This window comes from Homo sapiens, chromosome 17 (assembly GCF_000001405.40).
Source record: "Homo sapiens chromosome 17, GRCh38.p14 Primary Assembly".
NCBI classification, from domain to species: domain Eukaryota; kingdom Metazoa; phylum Chordata; class Mammalia; order Primates; family Hominidae; genus Homo; species Homo sapiens.
In genome coordinates this window covers 9551834-9575999 of record NC_000017.11, presented here as the reverse complement: position 1 = coordinate 9575999, position 24166 = coordinate 9551834, and the positions used below count along the sequence as shown (strand labels likewise).

The 24166-nt window shown below is 41.7% G+C and overlaps 1 protein-coding gene across 4 annotated transcripts in view, besides 1 other annotated feature; it reads left to right on the top strand.

The window, feature by feature from the left end:
• Positions 18–197: an enhancer, noted in NCBI's record as "active region_11726". NCBI's record gives its function as "activates an Ori minimal core promoter by ATAC-STARR-seq in GM12878 lymphoblastoid cells {active_cell/tissue: GM12878}" and the evidence as "EXISTENCE:reporter gene assay evidence [ECO:0000049][PMID:35858748]".
• The window catches only part of STX8 (syntaxin 8), a 325350-nt gene continuing 301363 nt past the window's right edge, over positions 180–24166 (top strand). For 2 of the 4 annotated variants that reach the window (XR_934120.3, NM_004853.3), the window contains exons 1-3: positions 180–208; positions 7530–7629; positions 18472–18566. Coding sequence is in view for 2 of the 4 variants with exons in the window: in NM_004853.3 (NP_004844.1) it covers positions 192–208; positions 7530–7629; positions 18472–18566 (212 nt within the window). In the remaining 2 variants the exon portion in view is untranslated. Of the gene's footprint in view, positions 209–6062; positions 6503–7529; positions 7630–18471; positions 18567–24166 lie in introns of those variants that run through there. The other 2 variants (NR_033656.2, XM_011524079.2) reach the window with 2 other exon arrangements.

Sequence of the window (24166 nt, the reverse complement as noted above, 5' to 3'; positions counted from 1 at the left end):
TTGCTCCAGTGTACTGTCCGCAGGGGAGCGCTTTGCTTTCTCTGATTATAGTTCTGAGGCCCTAGCTACTCACTTTGCAAACTCCAGGCTCCGGTCGCGCACGGGACGAACTGCGGGGAGTGAGCCGCGCGGGCCGCCGTAGTCAGCTGCTAAGAGCAGGAAGAGTCCGAGCGGCGGGCGGAGTCTGCAGGATGGCACCGGACCCCTGGTGAGTCCCGGGTGAGGGCGGCGGTGCGTGGAGGGACCTTCGGGGAGGCCGGGCTTCCGGAGAGCAGGCAATCACTTCGCATTGCCGCTGGTGGCCTTTCGGGATGAGGGGAGGGGCAGCGAGACCTTTCCTTTACTGAGGGGGCTCAGCCACATCCCGCCACACTTGGTCCTTGCAAGGGTGGCCCGGGAAGGAGACCAGGTGGTCCGCTGGAGAGCTGAGGACTTACGCCAAATCTCTGAATATTCCTTTAGCTTTTCTGGGCTGCATCTCGTTGCGGGGATTTCCCGCCCATCCTGGTTTTGGAGCTAGCTGGCTGGTGCAGGCTTCCCTGGACTCCTATAAAAGTGAAGTCGAAATAACGTTTTTGTAGCATGTCAGTCCATCCCGGTAAACCCCCTTATTTCACAGGTGGAGAAACCGAGGTTCAGAATCCATGGCCACCAGCCAGTTAGTAACCAGCTGGGGCTAAGACCTAGATCTTGGGGGCCCTTCCAGATACAGGAACCTGGGAGGGAAATTGTGCACTTGTTTATAAGGCATTTTGCACTTTCTTGAGTTAATATCATGAAGTCTTTTCCTTTAGCAGTAGCTTCTGCAGTAAAACAATAGCTGATAAGGGTGATTTATTTAGCAGTTAATCCCAAGGACTGCATGATGAAAGATGCAACTTTTGATCCCAAGGAACATATTGTTTGATCCCAAGGAACGTATTGTTATTGAACATAGACTTGACCTTTCTGCTTAATAATTAAAAACATATTACAGCTCTATAACGTTCTTGTTGGAATATGTGTCTTATGTTGTTATTTCTAATATAGTTTATAATTGTTTAAGTTGCCCACATCCTGGATATTAGAAGAATGGATTCCAAGAACAAAGTTGAGTTACCTGGAATCTAGGTTATTTGGGCCAATTATTTAATTTAGCATTTACTTTTTTAAACCTAATTTTAGGCCGGACGCGGTGGTGGCTCACGCCTGTAATCCCAGTACTTTGGGAGGCCGAGGCAGGCAGATCACCTGAGGTCGGGAGGTCGAGACCAGCCTGACCAACATGGAGAAACCCCGTCTCTACTAAAAATACAAAATTAGCCGGGCATGGTAGTACATGCCTGTAATCCCAGCTACTCGGGAGACTGAGGCAGGAGAATCGCTTGAACCCGGGAGGTGTAGGTTGTGGTGAGCTGAGATCGTGCCATTGCACTCCAGCCTGGGCAACACGAGCGAAACTCCGTCTCAAAAAAAAATAAAAAACCCCAAAATCCCTAATTTTAACAGTTATATACACCCCTTGATAGAGAATATTCAATTTAGAGAATATTGAAAATTTGCAAAAAGGAAAATAAATAGCATCTTTAACTCTATAATTTGGAAATAGCCATTAATGATTTTTTTACAATGAATTTGTTATTTTAATCTATATTTTTATATATATATATAATATAAACAGCATTTCTCTATGTCATTGGACATTCTTTGAAAGCATAACTTTCTTTTCTTCTTTTTTTTTTTTTTGAGACGGAGTCTTGCTCTGTCTGTCACCCAGGCTGGAGTGCAATGGCGCGATCATGGCTCACTGCAACCTCCACCTCCTGGGCTTAAGCAACTCTCCTGCCTCAGCCTCTGGAGTAGCTGGGACTACAGGCGCACGCAGCCACGCCCAGCTAATTTTTTGTATTTTAGTAGAGACAGGGTTTTACCGTGTTGCCTAGGCTGATCTTGAACTCCTGAGCTCAGGCAATCTGCCCGCCTTGGCCTCCCAAAGTGCTGGGATTACAGGTGTGAGCCACCGCACCTGGCCTCATAATTGTCTTATGTTGCAAAATAATGCATCACATGAATGACCATAATTTATTTTTCTCCTATTAGTTTTTTGTTTTTCTGATGTTTTGTTTTGTTTTATCATTGCAAAGGGAGTCCCTTTGTTCTATCTCTTATTTCCTTGGGCTCCCTGTCTAGAAGTAGGAATTAGAACTGTTGAAAGTGAAGCATTTATACTTTTTTTGTTATTCTCAATCAGTTTGACTAAGTGGCTTTCTCATTAGACTGTTGAAAGTGAAATAGAACTGTTGGGCTCAAGGGTATAAACATTTTTAAGGCCCTTGATACTGTGAACCCCAAAGTATCTGAGACAGGTCTCAGTCAATTTAGAAAGTTTATTTTGCCAAGGTTAAGAATGCACCCATGACACAGCCTCAGGAGGTTCTGAAGACCTGTGCCCAAGGTGGTTGGGGAACAGCTTGCTTTTATACAATTTAGGGAGAATAATACATGAATTAATACATGTAAGATTTATGATGGCTCAATCCAGAAGGGAGGGACACCTCGAAGGGCGTGGGGGGCTTCCAGGTCATAAGTAGATTGAAAAATTTTCTGATTGGCAATTGGTTGAGTTATTATCAATAGAAACGAATGTCTGGGTTATGATAAGGGGTAGTGGAGACCAAGATTTTATTATGCAAATGAAGCCTCTGGGTAGCAGGCTTTAGAGAGAATACATTGTAAGTGTTTCTTATCAGACTTAAGGTCTGTATTGACGTTAATGCTGGTTGGCTTTTCCTGAATTCCAAAAAGGAGGAGAGGATATATAATGAGGCATGTCTGATCCCCTCTTCCCATCATGGCCTGAACCAGTGTTTCAGGTTAACTTTGGAATGCCCTTGCCTTAGAGTAGGGGTCCGTTCAGATGGTTGCGGGGGTGGGGGGGGGTGTTGGGGGTGGGCTTAGAATTTTATTTTGGTTTACAATACATATTCCTAAGTTGCCCTCCACCTTCTGGAACCTAAATCCCTCAGTTTACAAATCAAGTAGGAAATAAAGGTCAAAGATAAGGGACAGGCCCCCAGTTATCTATTTAGATTGGTGGAAGCTATCACTGGACCCCAAGCTTCTTCCGCAGTTAATGTTGATAAAGCATTGAGACTTTTTCTGTTATACTTCATTAGTTTGATGAAGTGGCTTTCTCATTGGACTATTGAGAGTGAAACAGTGAGACACTCAGCTGTGCTCCCAAAGCACAAAATGGGTCGCTGATTAGGGGGGTAGAAAGGAGTATGGGAAGGGACTTGAAAAACCTATAAAAGGCCAGGTGTGGTGGCTCACACCTGTAATCCTAGCACTTTGGGAGGCTGAGGCAGGCGGATCATAAGGTCAGGAGTTCGAGACCAGCCTGACCAACATGGTGAAACCCCGTCTCTACTAAAAACGCAAAAATTAGCTGGGCATGTTGGTGTGTACCTGTAATCCCAGCTACTCAGGAGGCTGAGGCAGGAGAATCACTTGAACCCAGGAGGTGGAGGTTGCAGTGAGCCGAGATTGCGCCACTGCACTTCAGCCTGGGCGACAGAGCGAGACTCCATGTCAAAACAAAACAAAACAAACAAACAAAAACAACCTATAAAAACAGATTCAACTACAGCTTTACCTTTGTGTTGCTAAAATCATAGGTCATTGGCACCTCCCTCAGTGTCTAGCAATGGAATATAGCAGTTACTATTTTAATGGCCTATCAAAGCAAGTGGTAAGCTCGCTGTTTAACAGAAGGAGCCCATGATCACTGTCTCTGAACTGGCTCTTTGCTAATGTTAATTAGCTTTACCTCCAGGGTAACTAATTTGTTGATGATGTACCATTTCCAGAAAAATTACAGTTAAACCTTAATAGTTTTATATCCTGATTGGACTTTTTATGTTGGTAGCATGGTCTTCTTTGTGTTGAATTGCTTTTTAAAAACTTTATTTTGGAAGGTAAAAGATACACAAACTAGAATAGTATAATGGGCCCCTTTCATACTCACCACCCAATTTCTGTGATTATCAATATTCTGCCATTCTTGTTTCATCTCTACCCTCCACACCTTTTTTTTTTTTAATTTTGAGATGGAGTCTTGCTCCGTCGCCCAGGCTGGAGTGCAGTGGCATGATCTTGGCTCACTGCAACCTCTGCCTCCTGAGTTCAAGTGATTCTCCTATCTCAGCCTCCCGAGTAGCTGGGATTACAAGCACCCGCCACCATGCCCGGCTAATTTTTGTATTTTTAGTAGAGATGGGGTTTTGCCATGTTGGCCAGGCTGGTCTTGAACTCCTGACCTCAGGTGATCACCCGTCTTGGCCTCCCAAAGTGCTGGGATTACAGGTGTGAGCCACTACGCCTATGCCCGGCCCAGATTACTTTTTTTTTTTTTTTTTTTTGAGACAAAGTCTTGCTCTTGTCCCCCAGGCTGGAGTGCGATGGCACAATCTCGGCAAACTGCAACCTCTGCCTCCCGGGTTCCAGCGATTCTCCTGCCTCAGCCACCCCCCGACCCAATTACTTTTTCTAAACTAGTACTTCAGGCACCTGTGTGCTTGATAGTGTAATGAGGTTGTCTATTGCCCCAGGCCAAGGGTTCCCGCCCGGACTTTACCGCAGATTGGAATCACTTGGAGAGCTTTTAAAGCTCCCCACGCACGCCCAGGACAAACCCCATACCAGTTGAGTCAGAATGCTGAGGTTGGGACCAGGCATTGTTATTTTTTTAAAGATTCCCCAGTGATTCCAACTTGTTTCAGAACTATTGCTCTTTAGGGCTAAAATAACAACACAAGGACTGGAGTCAGGACACCTGGGAGTTTGTGCTAGCTGTGTGCATTTCTCATAACCTCTTTAGGGCCACTCTCTGTGTGTAAAAGTGTTCTCTATGGCTCTGAAATTCTCCTTTAAGTCTAACCTTGTTAGACTGGTGTTCAAGGCTCTGCAGAAACTAGCTTCTACTCATCTCTACCATTTTATACTTAACAGGCTTCCAGGGCCACCACGCAGCCAAATGTGCCGGGCACGTTTCCTTCCATTCATCTTTGCTCGCCCTGTCTTTCACTAAGTCTAGAATGTGCTCCTCCCTCCTGTCTGAATAAGAGACCTGCTTTAACTTCGTGGTCATCCAGATGTAACCTCATGGACCCTCTCCATCTGAGTGCCTTGGTCAGCAGTAATCTCTTCCACCTCTGAACTCCAGACGTACTTACCACTTAGATCCCACATTTGGCAGGAGGCAAAACTTACCATATGTGGATGATTTTTATATGTATGGTCTGGACCCCAGAGCCAGACCTAGGCTCCTCTTTTCATGATAATATGGAGGAAAAAAAAGTGAAATGTGGCAAAGTTTGGACCAGGACCCAATTTTCCTTATTAGCCTCCTGTTTTCTTAATTCTGTGTTTTCTTGTATCACTGCTATTTTTCCCTACACACACAAATACATGAATATATATATATGAATGATATACATGTGACATATACGAATATATAGTATATATGATATAAACGATAGGTATGTGATATATATGAATATATGTATCAGTGATATATATGATATATGTGAATGTGTGTGATATATATATGATATATACATGAATGGTGCTGCTTTACAGTATAGTGGTTAGTGGTTCAGGATCCTCTCTCAGGATCCTTATGAAGTTTACAGTGTAAAGCTCTTAGTATAGGACCTGGCTCAGGTCAGGTACTCAGCTGTTACTATTGCTATAATTATTCTAGTAAGATTCCTAAGGGAATTGATGGGCGCATTTTCCTTCATTTAAAAAAAAACACTTATCAAGTTCCCTCAGTGTTCAAATGATATGTGGGAATTGAAAGGTTTTAAAAAATATATTGTTTACTCAAGCAAAAATTAGGACATTAGGGGCAACAGGAGTTTCTGATATTTTGTGATGGACTGGTCCTGGAAGATAATGCTGGTCATGTTAGTCCACAGAGTCTCTGCTTTTTAGGAGCAGACTGTCTGATAGGAGAAATGAAATGTGTATGCATGCTTAAGTATTTTCGTTTTTTTGTTCGTTTGTTTTTTTGAGATGGAGTCTCACAGTGTCGCCGGGCTGGAGTGCAATGGTGTGATCTCAGCTCACTGCAACCTTCGCCTCCTGGGTTCAAGCGATTCTCCTGCCTCAGCCTCCCAAGTAGCTGGGATTACAGGCACCCGCCACCATGCCTGGCTAATTTTTTGTATTTTTAGTTGAGACGGGGTTTCACTATGTTGGCCAGGCTGGTCTCGAACTTCTGACCTCATGATCTGCCCGCCTCGGCCTCCCAAAGTGCTGGGATTACAAGCGTGAGCCACCGCATCCGGTCTGCTTAAGTATTTTCTATATGATAGAAAGTAAAAATGCTCTGAGAGAAGCAAAACATAAGGGGCTATTGGGAGTTCACCGTGAACCCTTCAAAGCCTCCAACGCTGCTGAATGACAACTAGAAGCTTATTAAATGTTTTGAGAGAATTCTGGCAAGCTCAGATGTCAGGTGGGTGTGTGGCCTTTGTCCCCGGAGCATTTGGTTTTAGGCTAGACAATACTTGCTGTTCCTGCACCCTAGAGCCGCCCCCAGGCATCTGCAAGCCCAGCTTCTTCACCTTGCCTCGGTGTCACCTGATCCTAAGTAGCAGCTCCTTATCACTCTCTGTCCCTTTATCCTGCTGCGTTTTTCTTCTTAGCACCTATCAACACCTGACATACTATGTATTTAATTGTTTTATGACTTTCTTTCCTTAAAATATGAGCTCCTTGAAAGAGGGACTGTGTTCATTCTGTTTACTGCCGTCTTCTCCAGTGCCCAGAACAGTGCCCAGTGCAGCGGAGACCCCCCACATGCTTTCTCATTGGCAGAACAGCACAGTTGTTAAGAGCCCCGGCTCTGGGGCCAGACGGCCTTGGTTTGCAGCAGGCAGAACCACTTGGGCAAGTCACTCTAACTCTTTGTGCCTCCTTTTCTCATGTGTGAGTTGGAGATGGTAATGGTACCCACTTCATAGCGTTCCTGTTTTGATTAAGTGAGTTATTACTAACGAAGCCTTCAAAATAGTGCCTGGCACATGGTAAATAACGCTCAGTCCATGTTGCTTTTACTGGTCATGTTATTATTCTTCCCCTCTGTTTGAATTCTTTGGCTAGAATGAAAATGTCAAACTTAGACAATGCAAAAATTTCTTTTAAAGAACCTTAAGGCCAGGTGCAGGGGCTCACGCCTGTAATCCCAGCACTTTGGGAGGCCGAGGGGGCGGATCACGAGGTCAGGAGATCGAGACCATCTTGGCTAACACGGTGAAACCTCATCTCTACTAAAAATACAAAAAATTAGCCAGGCATGATAGCGGGCGCCTGTAGTCCCAGCTACTGGGGAGGCTGAGGCAGGAGAATGGTGCGAACCCAGGAGGCAGAGCTTGCAGTGAGCTGAGATCGTGCCACTGCACTCCAGCCTGGGCGACAGAGCGAGACTCCGTCTCAAAAAAAAAGAACCTTAAACATTTTCTCTTTTTACGACTTTGGTGCAGGTTCTCCACATACGATTCTACTTGTCAAATTGCCCAAGAAATTGCTGAGAAAATTCAACAACGAAATCAATATGAAAGAAAAGGTGAAAAGGCACCAAAGGTAATACCATGAAGGAATTAGTACCCAATGATTTGTTTGAGTTTTGAGGCCTGAAAACCCTCCTATCTTTCTTTGAGGCTGTCTGTGCACATGTGTGTATGATGATCTATCTGCTTACATATGTTGAATTGACATAACACCCAACCAGTTAGTAGTGATGTAATCATTGAGACTAAATGAGGCATAACACATTTAAGTTCTCCTGTTTTACTTTAAATATTTCTAACAATTTTATAGTCTAGTTCAGGGGTTAGTAAACTTCCTACAGATAATAAATCTTTTAGTCTTTGCAGGCCAAGAGATAATGTCTTCAAGTCTTTGAGTTTCCATTCTCACCACAAGAATAGTTATAGTTTTTACATTTTACATTAAAAATGTAAAAACAGGCCAGGCATAGTGGCTCACACCTGTAATCCCAGCACTTTGGGAGGCTGAGGCGGGCAGATTGCTTGAGGTCAAGAATTCGAGACCAGCCTGGGCAACATGGGGAAACCCCATCTCTACTAAAAATATAAAACCTAGCCAGGCGTGGTGGCACACACCTGTAGTCCAGCTACTCAGGAGGCTGAGGCAGGAGAATTGCTTGAACCTGGGAGGTGGAGGCTGCAGTGAGCTAAGATCGTGCCACTGCACTCCCGCCTGGGCAACAGAGTGAGACCCTGTCTCAAAAAAGAAAAAAATGTAAAAACCATCTTTAGTTTTGGGCTGTATAAAAACAGTGGTGGGATTTGGCTAAGAAATAGATTTTTGTGAAATCACAAGTTTATACTTGTGACTATGATTGAAAATAGAAGCCTCTGATTCAAATCTAACACCACACCTTTCTTCCTTATTTTCCACATTCCAAATTTGTATTTTCTTTCTCTCACACTGAGAATCCTAGTTTCCAAAAGCATCAGTATGTTTTTACTCATTTGGTCTATTTTACAGTTTACAGAAAATGGTTTCAAAATTACTATAAGGTACCACGACAAACACTGAGTTCAAAATTTGAGTCTTTTTAAGTGTAGACTAATCTACTAAGAATGCTGAGGTTATTATGTTCCAAAGTTATTAGAATTATTTTTTAACTTTCAAGTTCAGGGGTACATATGTGGGTTTGTTGTATAGGTAAGCTTGTGTTATGGGGATTTGTTGTACACGTTATTTTGTCACCCAGGTATGAAGCCTAGCACTTACTATTTTTCCTAATCCTCTTCCTCCTTCCAGCTTCCTCCCTCTGCTAGGCCCCAGTGTGTGTCATGTCCCCCTATGTATCCATATGTTCTCACCAGTTAGCTCTCTCTTATATCAACAGAGTGAACAAACAACCTACAGAATGTGAGAACATGCGGTATTTGGTTTTCTGTTCCTGCATTAGTTTGCTAAGGATAATGGCCTTCAGCTCCATTCATGTTCCTGCAAAGGACATGATCTCGATCTTTTTTATGGCGGCATAATATTCCATAGTGTATATGTACCACATTTTCTCTGTCTGGTCTACCATTGGTGGGCATCAGGTTGATTCTATGTCTTTTGTTATTGTGAATAGTGCTGCAGTGAACATACACATGCATGTGTCTCTTTTTTTCTCTTTTTTTTTCGAGACGGAGTTTTGCTCTTGTTGCCCAGGCTGGAGTGCAGTGGTGCAATCTCGGCTCACTGCATCCTCTGCCTCCCAGGTTCAAGCCATTCTCCTGCCCCAGCCTCCAGAGTAGCTGGGATTACAAGTGCCTGCCACCATGCCTGGCTAATTTTTGTATTTTTAGTAGAGATGGGGTTTCGCCATGTTGGCCAGGCTTGTCTCGAACACCTGACCTCAGGTGATCCACCCACCTCGGCCTCCCGAAGTGCTGAGATTACAGGTGTGAGCCACCCCACCTGGCCACATGCATGTGTCTTTATGGAAGAATGATTTCTATTCCTTCGGGGATATACCCAATAACGGGATTGCTGAATCAAATAGTATTTCTGTTTTTAGTACGTTGAGGAATTGCCACACCGTCTTCCACAATGACTGAACTGATTTACACTCCCACTAACAGTGTATAAGTGTTCCTTTTGCTCTGCAACCTCCCGAGCATCTGTTATTTTTTGACTTTTTAGTAATAACCATGCTGAGTGGTGTGAGATGGTATCTCATTGTGGTTTCGATTTGCACCTCTCTAATGATCAGTGATGTTGAGCTTTTTTTCCTGTTTTTTTTGGCAGCATGCCTGTCTTCCTTTGAAAAGTGTCTATTCGTGTCCTTTGTCTGCTTTTTAATGGGGTGGATTTTTCTTGTAAATTTGCTTAAGTTCCTTATAGATACTGGCTATTAGATCTTTGTCAGATGGATAGCTTGCAAATATTTTCTCACAATGTGTAGGTTGTTTGTTCACTCTGTGGATAGTTTCCTTTTCTGTGCAGAAGCTCTTTAGTTGATTAGATCCTATTTGTCAATTTTTGCTTTTGTTGCAATTGCTTTTGATGTCTTTGTCCTGAAATCTTTGCCTGTTCTTATGTCCAGAATAGTATTGCCTAGGTTGTCTTCCAGGGTTTTTATAGATTTAGGTTTTACAGTTAAGTCTTTAATCCATCTGAAGTTAATTTTTGCATGTGGTGTAAGGAAGGAGTTCAATTTCTATCTTCTGCACGTGGTAGCCAGTTATCCCAGCACCACTTATTGAATAGGGAATCCTTCCCCCATTGCTTGTTTTTGTCAGCTTTGTCAAAGCTCGGATAGTTGTACGTGTGGCCTTATTTCTGGGTACTCTATTTTTTTTTTTTTTTTTTTTTTGAGACGGTGTTTCTTCTCACCTAGGCTGGAGTGCAGTGACATGATCTCAGCTCACTGCAACCTCTCCCTTCTGGCTTCAAGTGATTCTTGCATCTCAGCTACCCGAGTAGCTGGGATTACAGGTGTGTGCCACCATGCCCAGCTAATTTTTGTATTTTTATTAGAGAGAGGGTTTCGCCATGTTGGCCAGGCTGGTCTCGAAATCCTGACCTCAAGTGATCTGCCCGCCTCGGCCTCCCAAAGTGCTGGGATTATAGGCGTGAGCCACTGTGCCTGGTCAACTGAGTTCTCTATTCTGTTCCATTGGTCTATGTCTGTTTTGGTTACTGTAGCCCTGTAGTATAGTTTGAAGTTGGGTAGCATGATGTTTCCAGCTATGTTATTTTTATTTTATTATTTCTTTTTGAGACAGAGTCTTGCTCTGTCGCCCATGCTGGAGTGCAGTGGCACGATCCTGGCTCACTGCAACCTCTGCCTCTCGGGTTCAAGTGATTCCCGTGCCTCAGCCTCCCAGGTAGCTGGGATTACAGGCATGAGCCACCACTTCCAGCTAATTTTTGTAGTTTTAGTAGAGATGGGCTCTTGTCATGTTGGCCAGGTTGATCTCGAACTCCTGACCTCAGATGATCCTCCCGCCTTGGCTTCCCAAAGTCCTGGGATTACAGGCATGAGCCACTGCGCCCGGCCCAGCTTTGTTCTTTTTGCTTAGGATTGCCTTGGCTATTTGGGCTCTTTTTTGGTTCCATATGAATTTTAAAATACTTTTTTCTAGTTCTGTGAAGAATGTCAATGGTAGTTTAATAGGAATGGCATTGAATCTATAAATTGCTTTGGGCAGTATGGCCATTTTAACGATATTGCTTCTTGCTGTCCATGAGCATGGAATGTTTTTCCATTTGTTTGTGTCATCTCTGATTTCTTTGAGCAGTGTTTTGTAGTTCTTCTTGTAGAGATCTTTACCTCATGGTTAGCTGTCTTCCTAGGTATTTTATTTTCTGTTGGCAATTGTAAATAGGAGTGCATTCCTGATTTGGCCCTTGGCTTGACTGTTGGTGTACAGGAATGTTAGTGATGTTTTGCACTTTGATTTTGTATCCTGAGACTTTGCTGAAGTTGTTTATAAGCTTAATGAGCTTTTGGACTGGGAGTATGAGATTTCCTAGATATAGGATCATGTTGTCTGCAAACAGGAATAGTTTGATTTCCTCTCTTCCTATTTGGATGCCTTTTCTTTTCCTTCCTTCCTTCCTCTCTCTCTTTCTTTTCTTTCTTTTCCTTCCTTTCTCTCTTTCTCTCCCTTCCCTTTCCTTTTTCCTTTCCTTTCTCACCTCTTTTCTCCTCTCCTCTCCTCTTTTTCTCCTGCCTAACTGCCCTGGTCAGGACTTCCAATACTATGTTGAATAGGAGTGGTAGCAGAGGGCATCCTTGTCTTGTGCCAGTTTTCAAGTGGAATGCTGCCAGATTTTGCCCATTCAGTATGATGTTGGCTGTGGGTTTGTCATAGATGGCTCTTATTATTTTGAGGTATGTTCCTTGAATACCTAGTTTATTGAGTGTTTTTAACGTGAAGTGGTGTTGAATTTTATCAAAAGCCTTTCCTGCTTCTATTGAGATAATCATGTAAGTTTTGTCTTATTTCAGTTTGTGTGATGAAACACATTTTTTGTTTTGCATATGTTGAACCAACCTTGCATCCCAGGGATAAAGCCTACTTGATCGTGGTGGATAAGCTTTTTGATGTGCTGCTGGATTCGGTTTGCCAGTATTTTTTTGAGGACTTTTGCAATAATTGATTCTTTTTTTTTCTGTCTTATGTTATCCTTTGTTTCTGTTTTTATTCATTTTCAGGAGTTGCTTTTTCCAACTTTTTAATTTAATTTTAAATAAGTAAAACATTTACATTGTTCAGAAGTCAAAATTATATAAAAGTGACACTCAAAGTCTTGTTCCCATTCCTCTCTTTTCTACCTTTTCTTAACCTACTTCTTCTAAATAACCATTTTCATTAATTTCTGGTTTATTCTTCCTGTGTTACTTTATGCAGAAATAAGCCTCTATGCGTGTGTATGTGTGTGTCTCTGTGTGTCTGTGTGTTATGTTTTTCCTTTTATATAAAAGATACTCTTTCGGGCCAGGCGCGGTGACTCACGCCTGTAATCCCAGCACTTTGGGAGGCCTAGGCGGGTGGATCACCTGAGGTCAGGAGTTTGGGACAAGCCTGGCCAACATGGTGAAACCCCGTCTCTACTAAAAATACAAAACATTAGCCGGGTGTGGTGGCGAGCACCTGTAATCCCAGCTACTCGGGAGGCTGAGGCAGGAGAATCACTTGAACTCAGGAGGCGGAGGTTACAGCGAGCCGAGATCGTGCCACTGCACTCCATCCTGGGTGACAAGAATGAAACTCTGTCTCAATAAATAAATAAATAAATAAATAAATAAATAAATAAATAAATAAATGGATGAATGAATGAATGACAGATACTCTTTTGTATCTTGGTCTTTTCACTTAATAATATAGAAACCTCTACATTTCATTTCATATTCCTTGTTCTTCTTTAGCGCTGTATGGGTACTCTATTGCGTAGATGTAACATTCTTTATTTAACCTGTCTCCTAAGGAAAGGCAGTTAAATTGCTTCCAGTCTTGAGTTGTGAATAACACCGCAGTAAATAACCTTGTCCTTTAAAAAAATTATGTGCATAGGTGTCTTTTAAAGGTGAGTTCTCAGAACCAGGGCATATGTAATTTTTTTTTTAACCTGATGTGAAATCCCCCCTCAAAGGGGTTGTCACTCTTGCCACCCCACCAGCAATGTGTGAGCACTTCTGTTTCTTCACAGCCTGGCCAACAGAGGGTGTGTGAATCTTCTGAATTTTTGTTAACCTCATAAGTGAGAAATGGTGTTTCAGTGTCGTTTTAAATTTGTATTTCTCATATAATGAGTCAAGTGGAGTGTGTTTTCATATGCTTAAGGGCCATATATATATATATATATTTTTTTTTTTTTCTGTGAACTGTCTTGTCTTTTGCCCATTTTTCTACTGGATTATTAGCCTTTTTAGTCTTGATCTTTTAAGAGCTCCTCACGTATTATGGAGATTAGCTCCTCGTGATAAATTGTAGTTATTTCCTTTCCTTTATCATTTGACATTTGACTTGCTTGTGGTAGTTTTGTCGTGTGAAAGTTTTTTTTTTTTTTTCCTGAGACGGAGTCTCGCTCTGTCGCCCAGGCTGGAGTGCGGTGGCGCGATCTCGGCTCACTTCAAGCTCCGCCTCCCGGGTTCACGCCATTCTCCTGCCTCAGCCTCCCAAGTAGCTGGGGCTACAGGCGCCCGCCACCATGCCCGGCTAATTTTTTTTTGTATTTTTAGTAGAGACGGGGTTTCACCGTATTAGCCAGGATGATCTCGATCTCCTGACCTTGTGATCCGCCTGCCTCAGCCTCCCAAAGTGCTGGGATTACAGGCGTGAGCCACTGCGCCCGGCCGAAAGTTTTTTTTTTTTTAAATGAAGTTGGCTGTCAATCTAATTGCTTCCATATATTTAGTCATATCTAAGTTTTTGCTGTTTGCAGGTTATAAAAAATTTATTCCTGCTTTCTTCTATTAAATATATGGTTTCATCTTTTACACGAAGGGCTGCTATCTATTTAACTAGTGTCATCTTCTTGGACAGTTAGATTCTTTCTAATTACAAATGATTTTTCAGTATAGCCAAATTATTGCCCATGTTGAAATAAATTCTTCAATGTAGACTTTCTGGATTTGGGTTGTATAACATTTTAAGCCTTTTGAACACATATATTGCAGAATGACATTTCTACACCAATTTTGATTATCTTTTAAAAAAATCTCTACTAGGTAAAAATACTATGTTACAGTAGTTTAATATGCATTTTTTATTAAGTCTTGAATATCTATTCTTTTTTTTTTTTTTTTTTTTTTGGCCAGATGGAGTTTTGCTTTTGTTGCCTAGGCTGGAGTGCAATGGCACAATCTCGGCTCACTGCAACCTCCGAGCCTCCCAGGTTCAAGCGATTCTCCTGCCACAGCGTCCCAAGTAGCTGGGATTACAGGCACCCGCCACCACGCCTGGCTAATTATTGTATTTTTAGTAGAGATGAGGTTTCACCATGTTGGCTAGGCTGGTCTCAAACTCTTGGTCTCAAGAGATCCTCCTGCCTTGGCCTCCCAAAGTGCTGGGATTACAAGCGTGACCCACCGTGCTCAGCCTTGTTTCTTAATTTCAAAGTTTTCTTTTTATATATGTTAACTATATTAAGCTTTGATCTGGTATATTTAGTATAAATGCTTTCTCTATTAACTTGATTTTGTAAGTGACATTGTAAAACATGTACCGGTTTTTAAATTTTATTTGAAATTATCAGCATGTTTGTTGGTGATCTTTTCTAACGGGGGAGGGGATATCATGCTTAAAAAGGCCTTTTACATGCAGAGGTTTTATAAATACTTAATTATGTAAATTTTCCTTAAGCTTTTTTTCTGTTATTTTGTTTTGTGTGTGTAAATCTTTGAAATACTTGGTGTTTACTTTGGTGTGTCATAGCTATCTAATTTTATTTTTTCCCCATTTGTTAAATTATGAATTTCTTTCCCTCATATGAAATAGTTCATATTTAATTCACTGGATTTTTATACAGCTACATTGTTTCTGGGCCATTTGTTATGTTGCACTACTGAAGCTGTTGGTGATTGCCAGCATCAGCTATTGTAGTTTTTTGTAATCACTTTATATCTGATTAAGGCCCCTATGAACATTATACATATTCATGGTTTTTATTTTCCTTCATTTATCCTTCTGTCAGAGTAATTTTCTAAAACTTCATTTAAAAAAAAAAAAACCAAACTGTGCTGTGCCTTAATTATCACCTCTTCTGCAATAAAAGAATTCCAAATGGAATTTCAAGTAGACATGTATGTTTATAGATTTAAATTGGGGAAAACTTACATTTTCACAATATTGAGCGTTTCCTTTTGTTTCTTCAGCAGTATTTATTGCACAGTTAACTATGTGCCAGGCACTGTGCTAGATATTTTTTAGATTTTGTTGGTATTGTTAATGAAGTTTTAAAATAACAATTTAAAAAACTCTCCCTAGGTATTACTTAAATTTAGGAATGCCCTTGATTTTTTTTCACTTTATGACTAATGACCATATTGAATTCTTCTACCGTTTTTTTTTTTTTTTTTTGAGATGGAGTCTTGCTCTGTCGCCCAGGCTGGAATACAGTGGCATCATCTTTGCTCACTGCAACCTCCGCTTCCTGGGTTCAAGCCATTCTCCTGCCTCAGCCTCCCCAGTAACTGAGATTACAGGTGCGCACCACCATGCCCAGCTAATTTTTGTATTTTTAGTAGTGACAGGGTTTCACCATGTTGGCCAGGCTGGTTTTGAACTCCTGACCTCGTGATTCTCCCACCTCTGCCTCCCAAAGTGCTGTGATTACAGGTGTGAGCCACCACACCTGGCCTCTACTGTTTTTAATAGTCTTTCAGCCCGGCCTCTACTGTTTTTAATAATCTTTCAGTCTGGGCGCGGTGGCTCATGCCTGTAATCCCAGCATTTTGGGAGGCTGAGGTGGGTGGATCACCTGAGGTCAGGAGTTCGAGACCAGCCTGACCAATATGGTGAAACTCTGTCTCTACTAAAAATACAAAAATTAGCTGGGCATGGTGGTGGGTGCCTGTAGTCCCAGCTACTCAGGAGGCTGAGGCAGGAGACTCGCTTAAAACGGGAGGCGGAGGTTGTAGTGAGCTGAGATCACTCCATTGCACTCCAGCCTGGGCAACAGAGCAAGACTCTGTCTCAAAAAAAAAAAAAAAAAAAATATATATATATATATATATATATATAAAATAATAATAATCTTTCAGTTGATTCTCTTAACTCTTCCAAGTAGACTATTATCAATCTGCAAATAATAATAATCTCATCTTTCCTTGTAGTCCTTGTATTTTTCTTTAATTTTTCTTATTGTATTGGTTAGAACTTCTAGAGCAAAGTTAAATAATATTGTAGTTAAGGCAGTAGTGTTCTATTCTTAGTTTTTCTTTCTTTTTTGTGTTTCTTTTGTTTATAATTTCCCCTGTACTGTACTAATCATATGTTTATTCTGTTTTTAATTATTAACACCATGAGCTTTATTACTAGATTTTTCTAACATCAAACTGTTCTTAAATTACTAGAATAATTTCTACTTGTTGATAGTATATGGTCCTTTTTAATGTAATTCTGAATTTGCTTTGCTAATATTTTTTGAAAAGATTTTTACATTTATAATTCCTAAGTAAGATTGACATGTGGTTATCTCTGTCAGTGCTTGTTACCCAGGTTATGGTAGCTTAAAATGTGAATTAGGCTTTCCATCTTTTTTTGTGCTCTAGAAAGTGTCTTTAATTATGATAATGACATTTTTTCCTGATTACAAAAGTGATCATTTTCTTATAAAATATTAGAAAATCCCACTACTTAGATAGAACCATGGTGCTTTCATGGTTTCAATGTTTGTATTTAGTTCCTGGGTTGTTTTTTCTCTGTTTGGGTGATATTTTATTTTATGACTTGATGTTTTTTTCATAAGCTGTGATGGATATCTTTCTATGTGAACAAATAGAGATTTGAGCCATAATTTTTAATGGCTACATACTCCGTCTTTCATCTCCCAAATGCTTTTGTCTTTGATTTTGTGGACTCCTCTTCGTAGGCCTGGTGTGTGTGGCGCCTTTTTGTTTGCTTGTTTTGCCCTTTTATCTTTTTTTTTTTTTTGAGACGGAGTCTCGCTCTGTCGCCCAGGCTGGAGTGCAGTGGCGCGATCTCGGCTCACTGCAAGCTCCGCCTCCAGGGTTCACGCCGTTCTCCTGCCTCAGCCTCCCGCGTAGCTGGGACTACAGGCGCCCGCCACCGCGCCCAGCTAATTTTTTGTATTTTTAGTAGAGACGGGGTTTCACCGTCGTCTGGATCTCCTGACCTTGTGATCCACCCTCCTCGGCCTCCCAAAGTGCTGGGATTACAGGCGTGAGCCACCGCGCCCGGCCGCTCTTTTCTCTTTGAGTGTAGAGAGATCTGCTTTCCTTGGTGTTTCCCCACAACATTGTAGGTGATTGTTCCTTGGTTCCCAGGGGTATGGGGATAGTTCAGGTTAGACTTTTCTTGGCTGCTGGTGCCTTGGAGGGCTGCTGGATGTGTGCAGTCTGGGCCAGTCTCTGACACACTGGCTGGTTTTCCTTGGTGTGATTCTGCAAATCCAAGGAGGGAGTCCGCTTGAGTTATATAATTGCTGCTTTTGACAAGGTAGCAAAGGAAACCTGTGGTATTCTGTGTTTTTAACATATGTCTGATTTCATCCGTGGTTGAATATGTTTTAACTTACACAGGCAGTTTTTTCACATTTCCAAATTCCTGAGAGACTCTCTTCTCGCCCTCTTCTCCATCCTTTAATGTAACAGGTTAGAGTCACGGACAAAAATTTCCTGTAGGATGATTGGAGAAAATGCGCACCCTCCTGGGAAAAGAGTCATGTGTGGTTAGCATTCCTCTTGCATAAAAAGAACACATTGCCGTAAAACGTTTCATTGGGTTATAAATTTTACCAGTTGTTCAGAGAGCCTGGTGGGGATGGTAATGGGACTCCATGCTTTGTCGTTTGAAGCCTGGTTCAGAGAACTGTGGGTTTTTGCTCTCAAATGAAGACTCGGGGAACACAATTTCCTGCGTGGTTCCAAGGTAGATACATAGGATCAATGGGGTAGAAGCTCAGGTGACAGGATTCAGCTGATGGTGAGAGCACACTGACAGTTTCTAGTCAGTATCGGGGTTCCAGTCTGGCTTGGCTCACCACTTGGCCAGGTTGTGGAGCGGGTACAAGCTGTAGGTTGGCAGCTGGGCCAGGGCACCACTGAGCCTCCTTCCAGCCCTGAGTTTGTCGTGAGGGGCTGAGTATCTATCTCTTCCAGCCCTTGCTTGGTTGCATCATAGCCCGTGAAGTAGTGTTTACGTGATGTAATTTTGTGGATTCTACATTCTGGACTAGAATACTTAGGATGTGTTCTTTTCTTTTCAGCTTACCGTGACAATCAGAGCTTTGTTGCAGAACCTGAAGGAAAAGATCGCCCTTTTGAAGGACTTATTGCTAAGAGCTGTGTCAACACATCAGATGTATCCATGTAAACATTTCCACCTCTTTTCTAGAGTGGGAGGAAAAGCAGTCGTATTTTAAGAAAGGAAGGAATCTGGGCCACCCAGATTTTCCCACAGCTTGAGGAAGACCTGGTTTCCAAAATATTGCCTGTAATCTTGATTTCTATTTTAAGTGTCTGTTACATGTTTTACAGTGAATATGCTGGCAAAGCAAGACCTACCGAGGGAATTAACTTATTTGGGTATAACCTGTACAGTTCAGGAAGCTAATGTTTTCCGTCAGTGCGGTATTTACGGAGCCCCACACTGCTCTCTGTCTAGACCGCCTTGACCATGGCTAGCTACTGCTCCAACAGGAAAACTTCCATGATCATCCTAAGCTGTGATTCCGCTTCTGGGAGTTTCCAGAGTTTTTAATGATCCATTTATTTTCGGAGTGGGCAATACCAGTAGAAACCATACATCTCTCCTCTCACCACCTGCCCCGTGTTTATGTAGATTTGAGATGTGCCTTATTTTTCCTCCAGAGGCACAGACACTGCCTCTAGTATGGGAGTGTGAGGGGAAGGGGTGGGATGGGACTTCTTGAAGCAAGTTATGCCATCATCTTAACCTCCTACCAAGTGTTAAAATATATATATATATATATGTATGTGTATATATATATATATATATATATATATATATATATATATATATATTTTAGAAATTCATAATCTGGGCCAGGTGCAATGGTTCACGCCTATAATCCCAGCACTTTGGGAGGCCAAGCACTTGAGGCCAGGAGTTCGAGACCAGCCTGGTCAACATGGTGAAACCCCATCTCTACTGAAAATATAAAAATTAGCTGGGCGTGGTGGTGCACGCCTGTACTCCCAGCTACTCAGGAGGTTGAGGCAGGAGAATCACTTGAACCTGGGAGGCGGAGGTTGCAGTGAGCCGAGATCGTGCCAAAGCACTCCAGCTTGGGCAACAGAGTGTGACCCTGTCTCAAATAATAAAAAAAGAGAAATTCATAATCTGATCAATTTAGGAAAATATACGTGACTTGTTACCTACACTAACTTTTTACACCCAAGTGTATATTGGTTTGAAAACTTACCTGAAACTGGTCTTCTCTCATCATTTCTCTAAATTGTCAGTAGGTCATGCCAAAGACCCAATTTTTGGTATTTCAGGGAATGGATATTGCCAGATTTTAAATATAAGGAAATACAGGAATACAGCTTTTTAGATAAAAAAATGGAAAGTGTTCTAAAAAATATTTTCCCCCATTGTAACACCTTTATATCACCAGGAAAGTTGGCTTAGTTGCATGGTTTTCTAGACATTCAATTACGGATCCACTAAGGTTTCAAATAAAAGTTTAATTTCAAACAATTACAGCCTTATTTTTAACGCAATTGGAATATTCTGAGATACTTTACCTTCCATCTGGTGTAATTTGTTACAGCACAGTTGGTCTATCATATAAAGGGTTTTTATTTTACCCAAATCAACAAGTCCTAATATACTCACTGCACCATTGTGCCCAGCTAATTTTTTTTTTTTTTTTTGAGACGGAGTCTTGCTCTGTTGCCCAGGCTGGAGTGCAGCGGTGCGATCTCAGCTCACTGCAAGCTCTGCCTCCCGGGTTCATGCCATTCTCCTGCCTCCACCTCCCAAGTAGCTGGGACTACAGGTGCCTGCCACCTCGCCTGGCTAATTTTTTGTATTTTTAGTAGAGACGGGGTTTCACCATGTTAGCTAGGATGGTCTCGAACTCCTGACCTCGTAATCCGCCCGCCTCAGCCTCCCAAAGTGGTGGGATTACAGGCGTGAGCCACCGCGCCCGGCCCAATTTTTGTATTTTTAGTAGTTTCAGATGGGCAGGACTGTTTCCTCTGCTTTCGGTACTAAGCACTGGGAAGTCTACACATGGCAAGGTGTGTAAATTCATGTTAGTGTTACCTAAAACACATATATTAGAAAGGTAACTACATATTGTTTCATGATATAATATGCATTTGCTTCCATTAAGGTAACATTATTAGTCACCTTATTTATGTGCTAACCCTATAGGGCAAGAAAAATATACAAATTAAGAGCTTTTACTTTTTTCTATTAATAATAATTTCTGCTAGTTATTAGAGAGTACTAAGAATACCACAGTTATAATTGACTTTGTTCTCCTAAATGCTTACAGTCTGACCATCTGTTGAAATCTTGCAGATTTTTGGTTTTGTGGTCGTCCCAGAATTACTTCCCAAATTACTGAATTAAGCAGTAAGCATCAAAAACACTGAACAAGAGTTATTTAAAACATTACAAAAATATTTAGGGGTCTTAATGTGGATAATTTAGAATTTACCAGGAGACATCAAAAATTCAACTGGAATACAACAACTTTCTTTAAAATTCTATTTATTTTTTCAAATAATTGATCTATTTCTACTGTAACAACCTGCAGCCAGTACTAGGGATGGCATTTAGCTAATCCACCCCATGAGGGCGCTCATAAACCTGTTTATTTTCAGGGAGGCCAACTTTTTTTTTTTTTTTTTTTTTGAGATGGAGTCTTGCTCTGTCGCCCAGACTGGAGTGCAGTGGCACGATCTCAGCTCACTGCAACCTCCACCTCCTGGGTTCAAGCGATTTTCCTGCCTCAACCTCCTGAGTAGCTGGGATTACAGGCACACGCCACTGCGCCCAGATAATTTTTGTATTTTTAGTAGAGACAAGGTTTCACTATGTTGGCCAGGCTGGTCTTGAACTCCTGACCTCAGGTGATCCACCCTCCTCAGCCTCCCAAAGTGCTGGGATTACAGGCGTGAGCCACTGCGCCTGGCCACGGAGGCCACTTTTGATGTAAGGGAAAGGAGGTAGCTTGTATATTATGAAGGCCTCTTTTTAATTCTCCTTCTGTTCCTCCCATCTTCCCTTCCCCTAACCTCCTTCTTCTTCCCAAACATTTAAAATAATTCTCTGGCAGTTATCTTCCAGATTTAAGATAGATAGCAATCTATGAGTCCTAATAATCTCATATTATTAGATTTTTTTGGTGCTTCCTTCTCTTCTTTACAAAGAAAGATACTGAGGCCAAGTTAAACTTTACACCGAAAGTCACTGATGAAGTTGGAGAGATAACCCGGAATTCCAGCAGAGGAGGTTTGTTGGTTTGTTTGTTTTTTGTTTTTGTTTGTTTGTTTGTTTTAGACAGAGTCTCGCTCTGTCACCCAGGCTAGAGTTCAGTGGCACAATCTCGGCTCACCGCAACCTCCGCTTCCCAAGTTCAAGCGATTCTCCTGCCTCAGCCTCCCGAGTAGCTGGGATTACAGGCATGTGCCACCATGCCCGGCTAATTTTTATATTTTTAGTAGAGACGGGGTTTCATCATGTTGTCTAAGCTGGTCTCGAACTCCTGACCTCATGATGCACCCGCTTTGGTCTCCCAAAGTGCTGAGATTACAGGCATGAGCCACTGTGCCCGGCCCCAGCAGAGGAGTTTTCTACACTGAGGAGAGGATTCTTGGAGAGCTTTAGTCATTACCCAGGACCCCACAACTAGGAAATGGAAGAGCCAGGTTCAAACACAGGCTGTGTGGCCCCAACGTGAATTGTTTAAAAGCTGAATTATACTTTAGTAGAAATAATACAGTCAGCTGTCACCTGGCATGTCTTCAACTAGAATTCTCTATGAATTGTTGTGTTACTGGACTGCCAAGACAAATCTTGTTTATAATACAAATCTTCAAGAACCGTCTTAACCATCCGAAGATTAAACAGTGTTCATTGTGGTTTATTAGGTATACTTTATGATGTTGAGAAAAATGTTTGTTCATAAATCACCAATGGAGTGACTTTTTAATCCTTTTTTTGAGGCATAATTAATGTTTGGTGACTTTTTTAATGTGAATATTTGAATACCACATTTCCTTACTGTGCTGGATAGTTGAGAATTTATGATACTTAATAAATTGATGCCTTTCTACACTTGTGAACTTGTCCAAAGAACACTAGGAGTTGCCAGAAAAGTCCTGTGCAAATGCTTTCTAAACAATGAAATTCATGGAATTAAGGCATGAGATGTTATGCTCTCTCCTGAAAAAGTATTTTTCTCCTGGCAAGAATAAAAGTCAAGTTAAAATGGAAGTTCTGTGCTTTTGAATCCATTAGCGTGCAATTAATAAACCGAAGTCTTGCAGTCAGAGAGTTTAAATTTCTGAAAGACCTTAACATCTGTTCACAGTGTTTCTTTGAGATAGGAACTATAATTGTCTTACCAGCTGAGAAGAGGGTTATGCTGTGGGAGGCTGCATATGAAATTCCAGATAGTACTAAAGATACTTAGTACCATCTTCTTAGAGTTGGCTTCACATGAAACTTATCCTTTTGTTGGCATTTCACAGGAGGCAGCACCTTTACTTATTTTAAAGAGAATAAAGAAAATCTCTTTACAGAGGGGTTTGATGTCAAAAAGTACTTTGGTGTCTTGGGAGAAGGCCTTTGGAAATAAGTTTTAAAAATCTATAAATAAATTTTCTCATCCCAGGCACTTTGGGAGGCCGAGGCGTGCGGATCACGAGGTCAGGAGATCGAGACCATCCTGGCTAACATGGTGAAACCCCGTCTCTACTAAAAATACAAAAAAAATTAGCCGGGCGTGGTGGCGGGCGCCTGTAGTCCCAGCTACTCGGGAGGCTGAGGCAGGAGAATGGCGTGAACCCGGGATGCGGAGCTTGCAGTGAGCCGAGATCGCGCCACTGCACTCCAGTCTGGGCAAAAGAGCGAGACTCCGTCTCAAAAAAAAAAAAAAAAGAAAAATCTATAAATAAATTTTCTCTACTCTATTTTTTGGAAAAACAAAGATAGGTAAGTAGATAGATAAGTGCATAGACAGATGTGGTGATTACTACATAACAAACCCCAATGGATGTGGTTGTGGAGAGGCTGACTGAACAGATTTTACAGGTAACCCCTGGTAGCTACAGTGGAGGTGAAGTGGTTTTCAAACACTGTCCCTGTCTATTGGTTTTCACTGATACTTGGTAACATGAGAAAAATAAGAAGAAGATAGTGTTTGTGTAGCAGAAGTTTTTTGATTTATAAGAACTTTTTTTCTGACTTTTTAAAGACAGGATCTCACTGTGTTGCCTAGGATGGGGGGCAGTGGCAAAATCCTAGCTCAGTGCAGCCTCAAATTCCTGGCCTCAAGAGATCCTCCTGCCTCAGCCTCCCAAGTAGCTAGGGGTCCAGGTGTATGCCACCATGCCCAGCTAATTTTTTGTAGAGATGGGGTCTCGCCATGTTGCCCAGGCTGGTCTCGAACTTCTAGTCTCAAGCGATCCTCCACCTTGGCCTGCAAAATGTTTGGATTACTGGTGTGAGCCACCATATCAAGCCTGTTTTCTGATTTATACAGAACTGTTACATGGTTCTTTCTAGTTTTTGGTGTTAAAATCTCCTTGCTTTTTCACCATGATAGTAAAAGTAGATAGTTTTGTTTCTTTTTTTTTTTCTTGAACATCCATACCTGGCAAAATGTATAATTGGTAATTCTATATAAGTTACACCCCCCCCTAGTTTTTTTGGACATATTACTGGTCCACGAAACCTGAATGTCTAGGTGCCATTGGTAT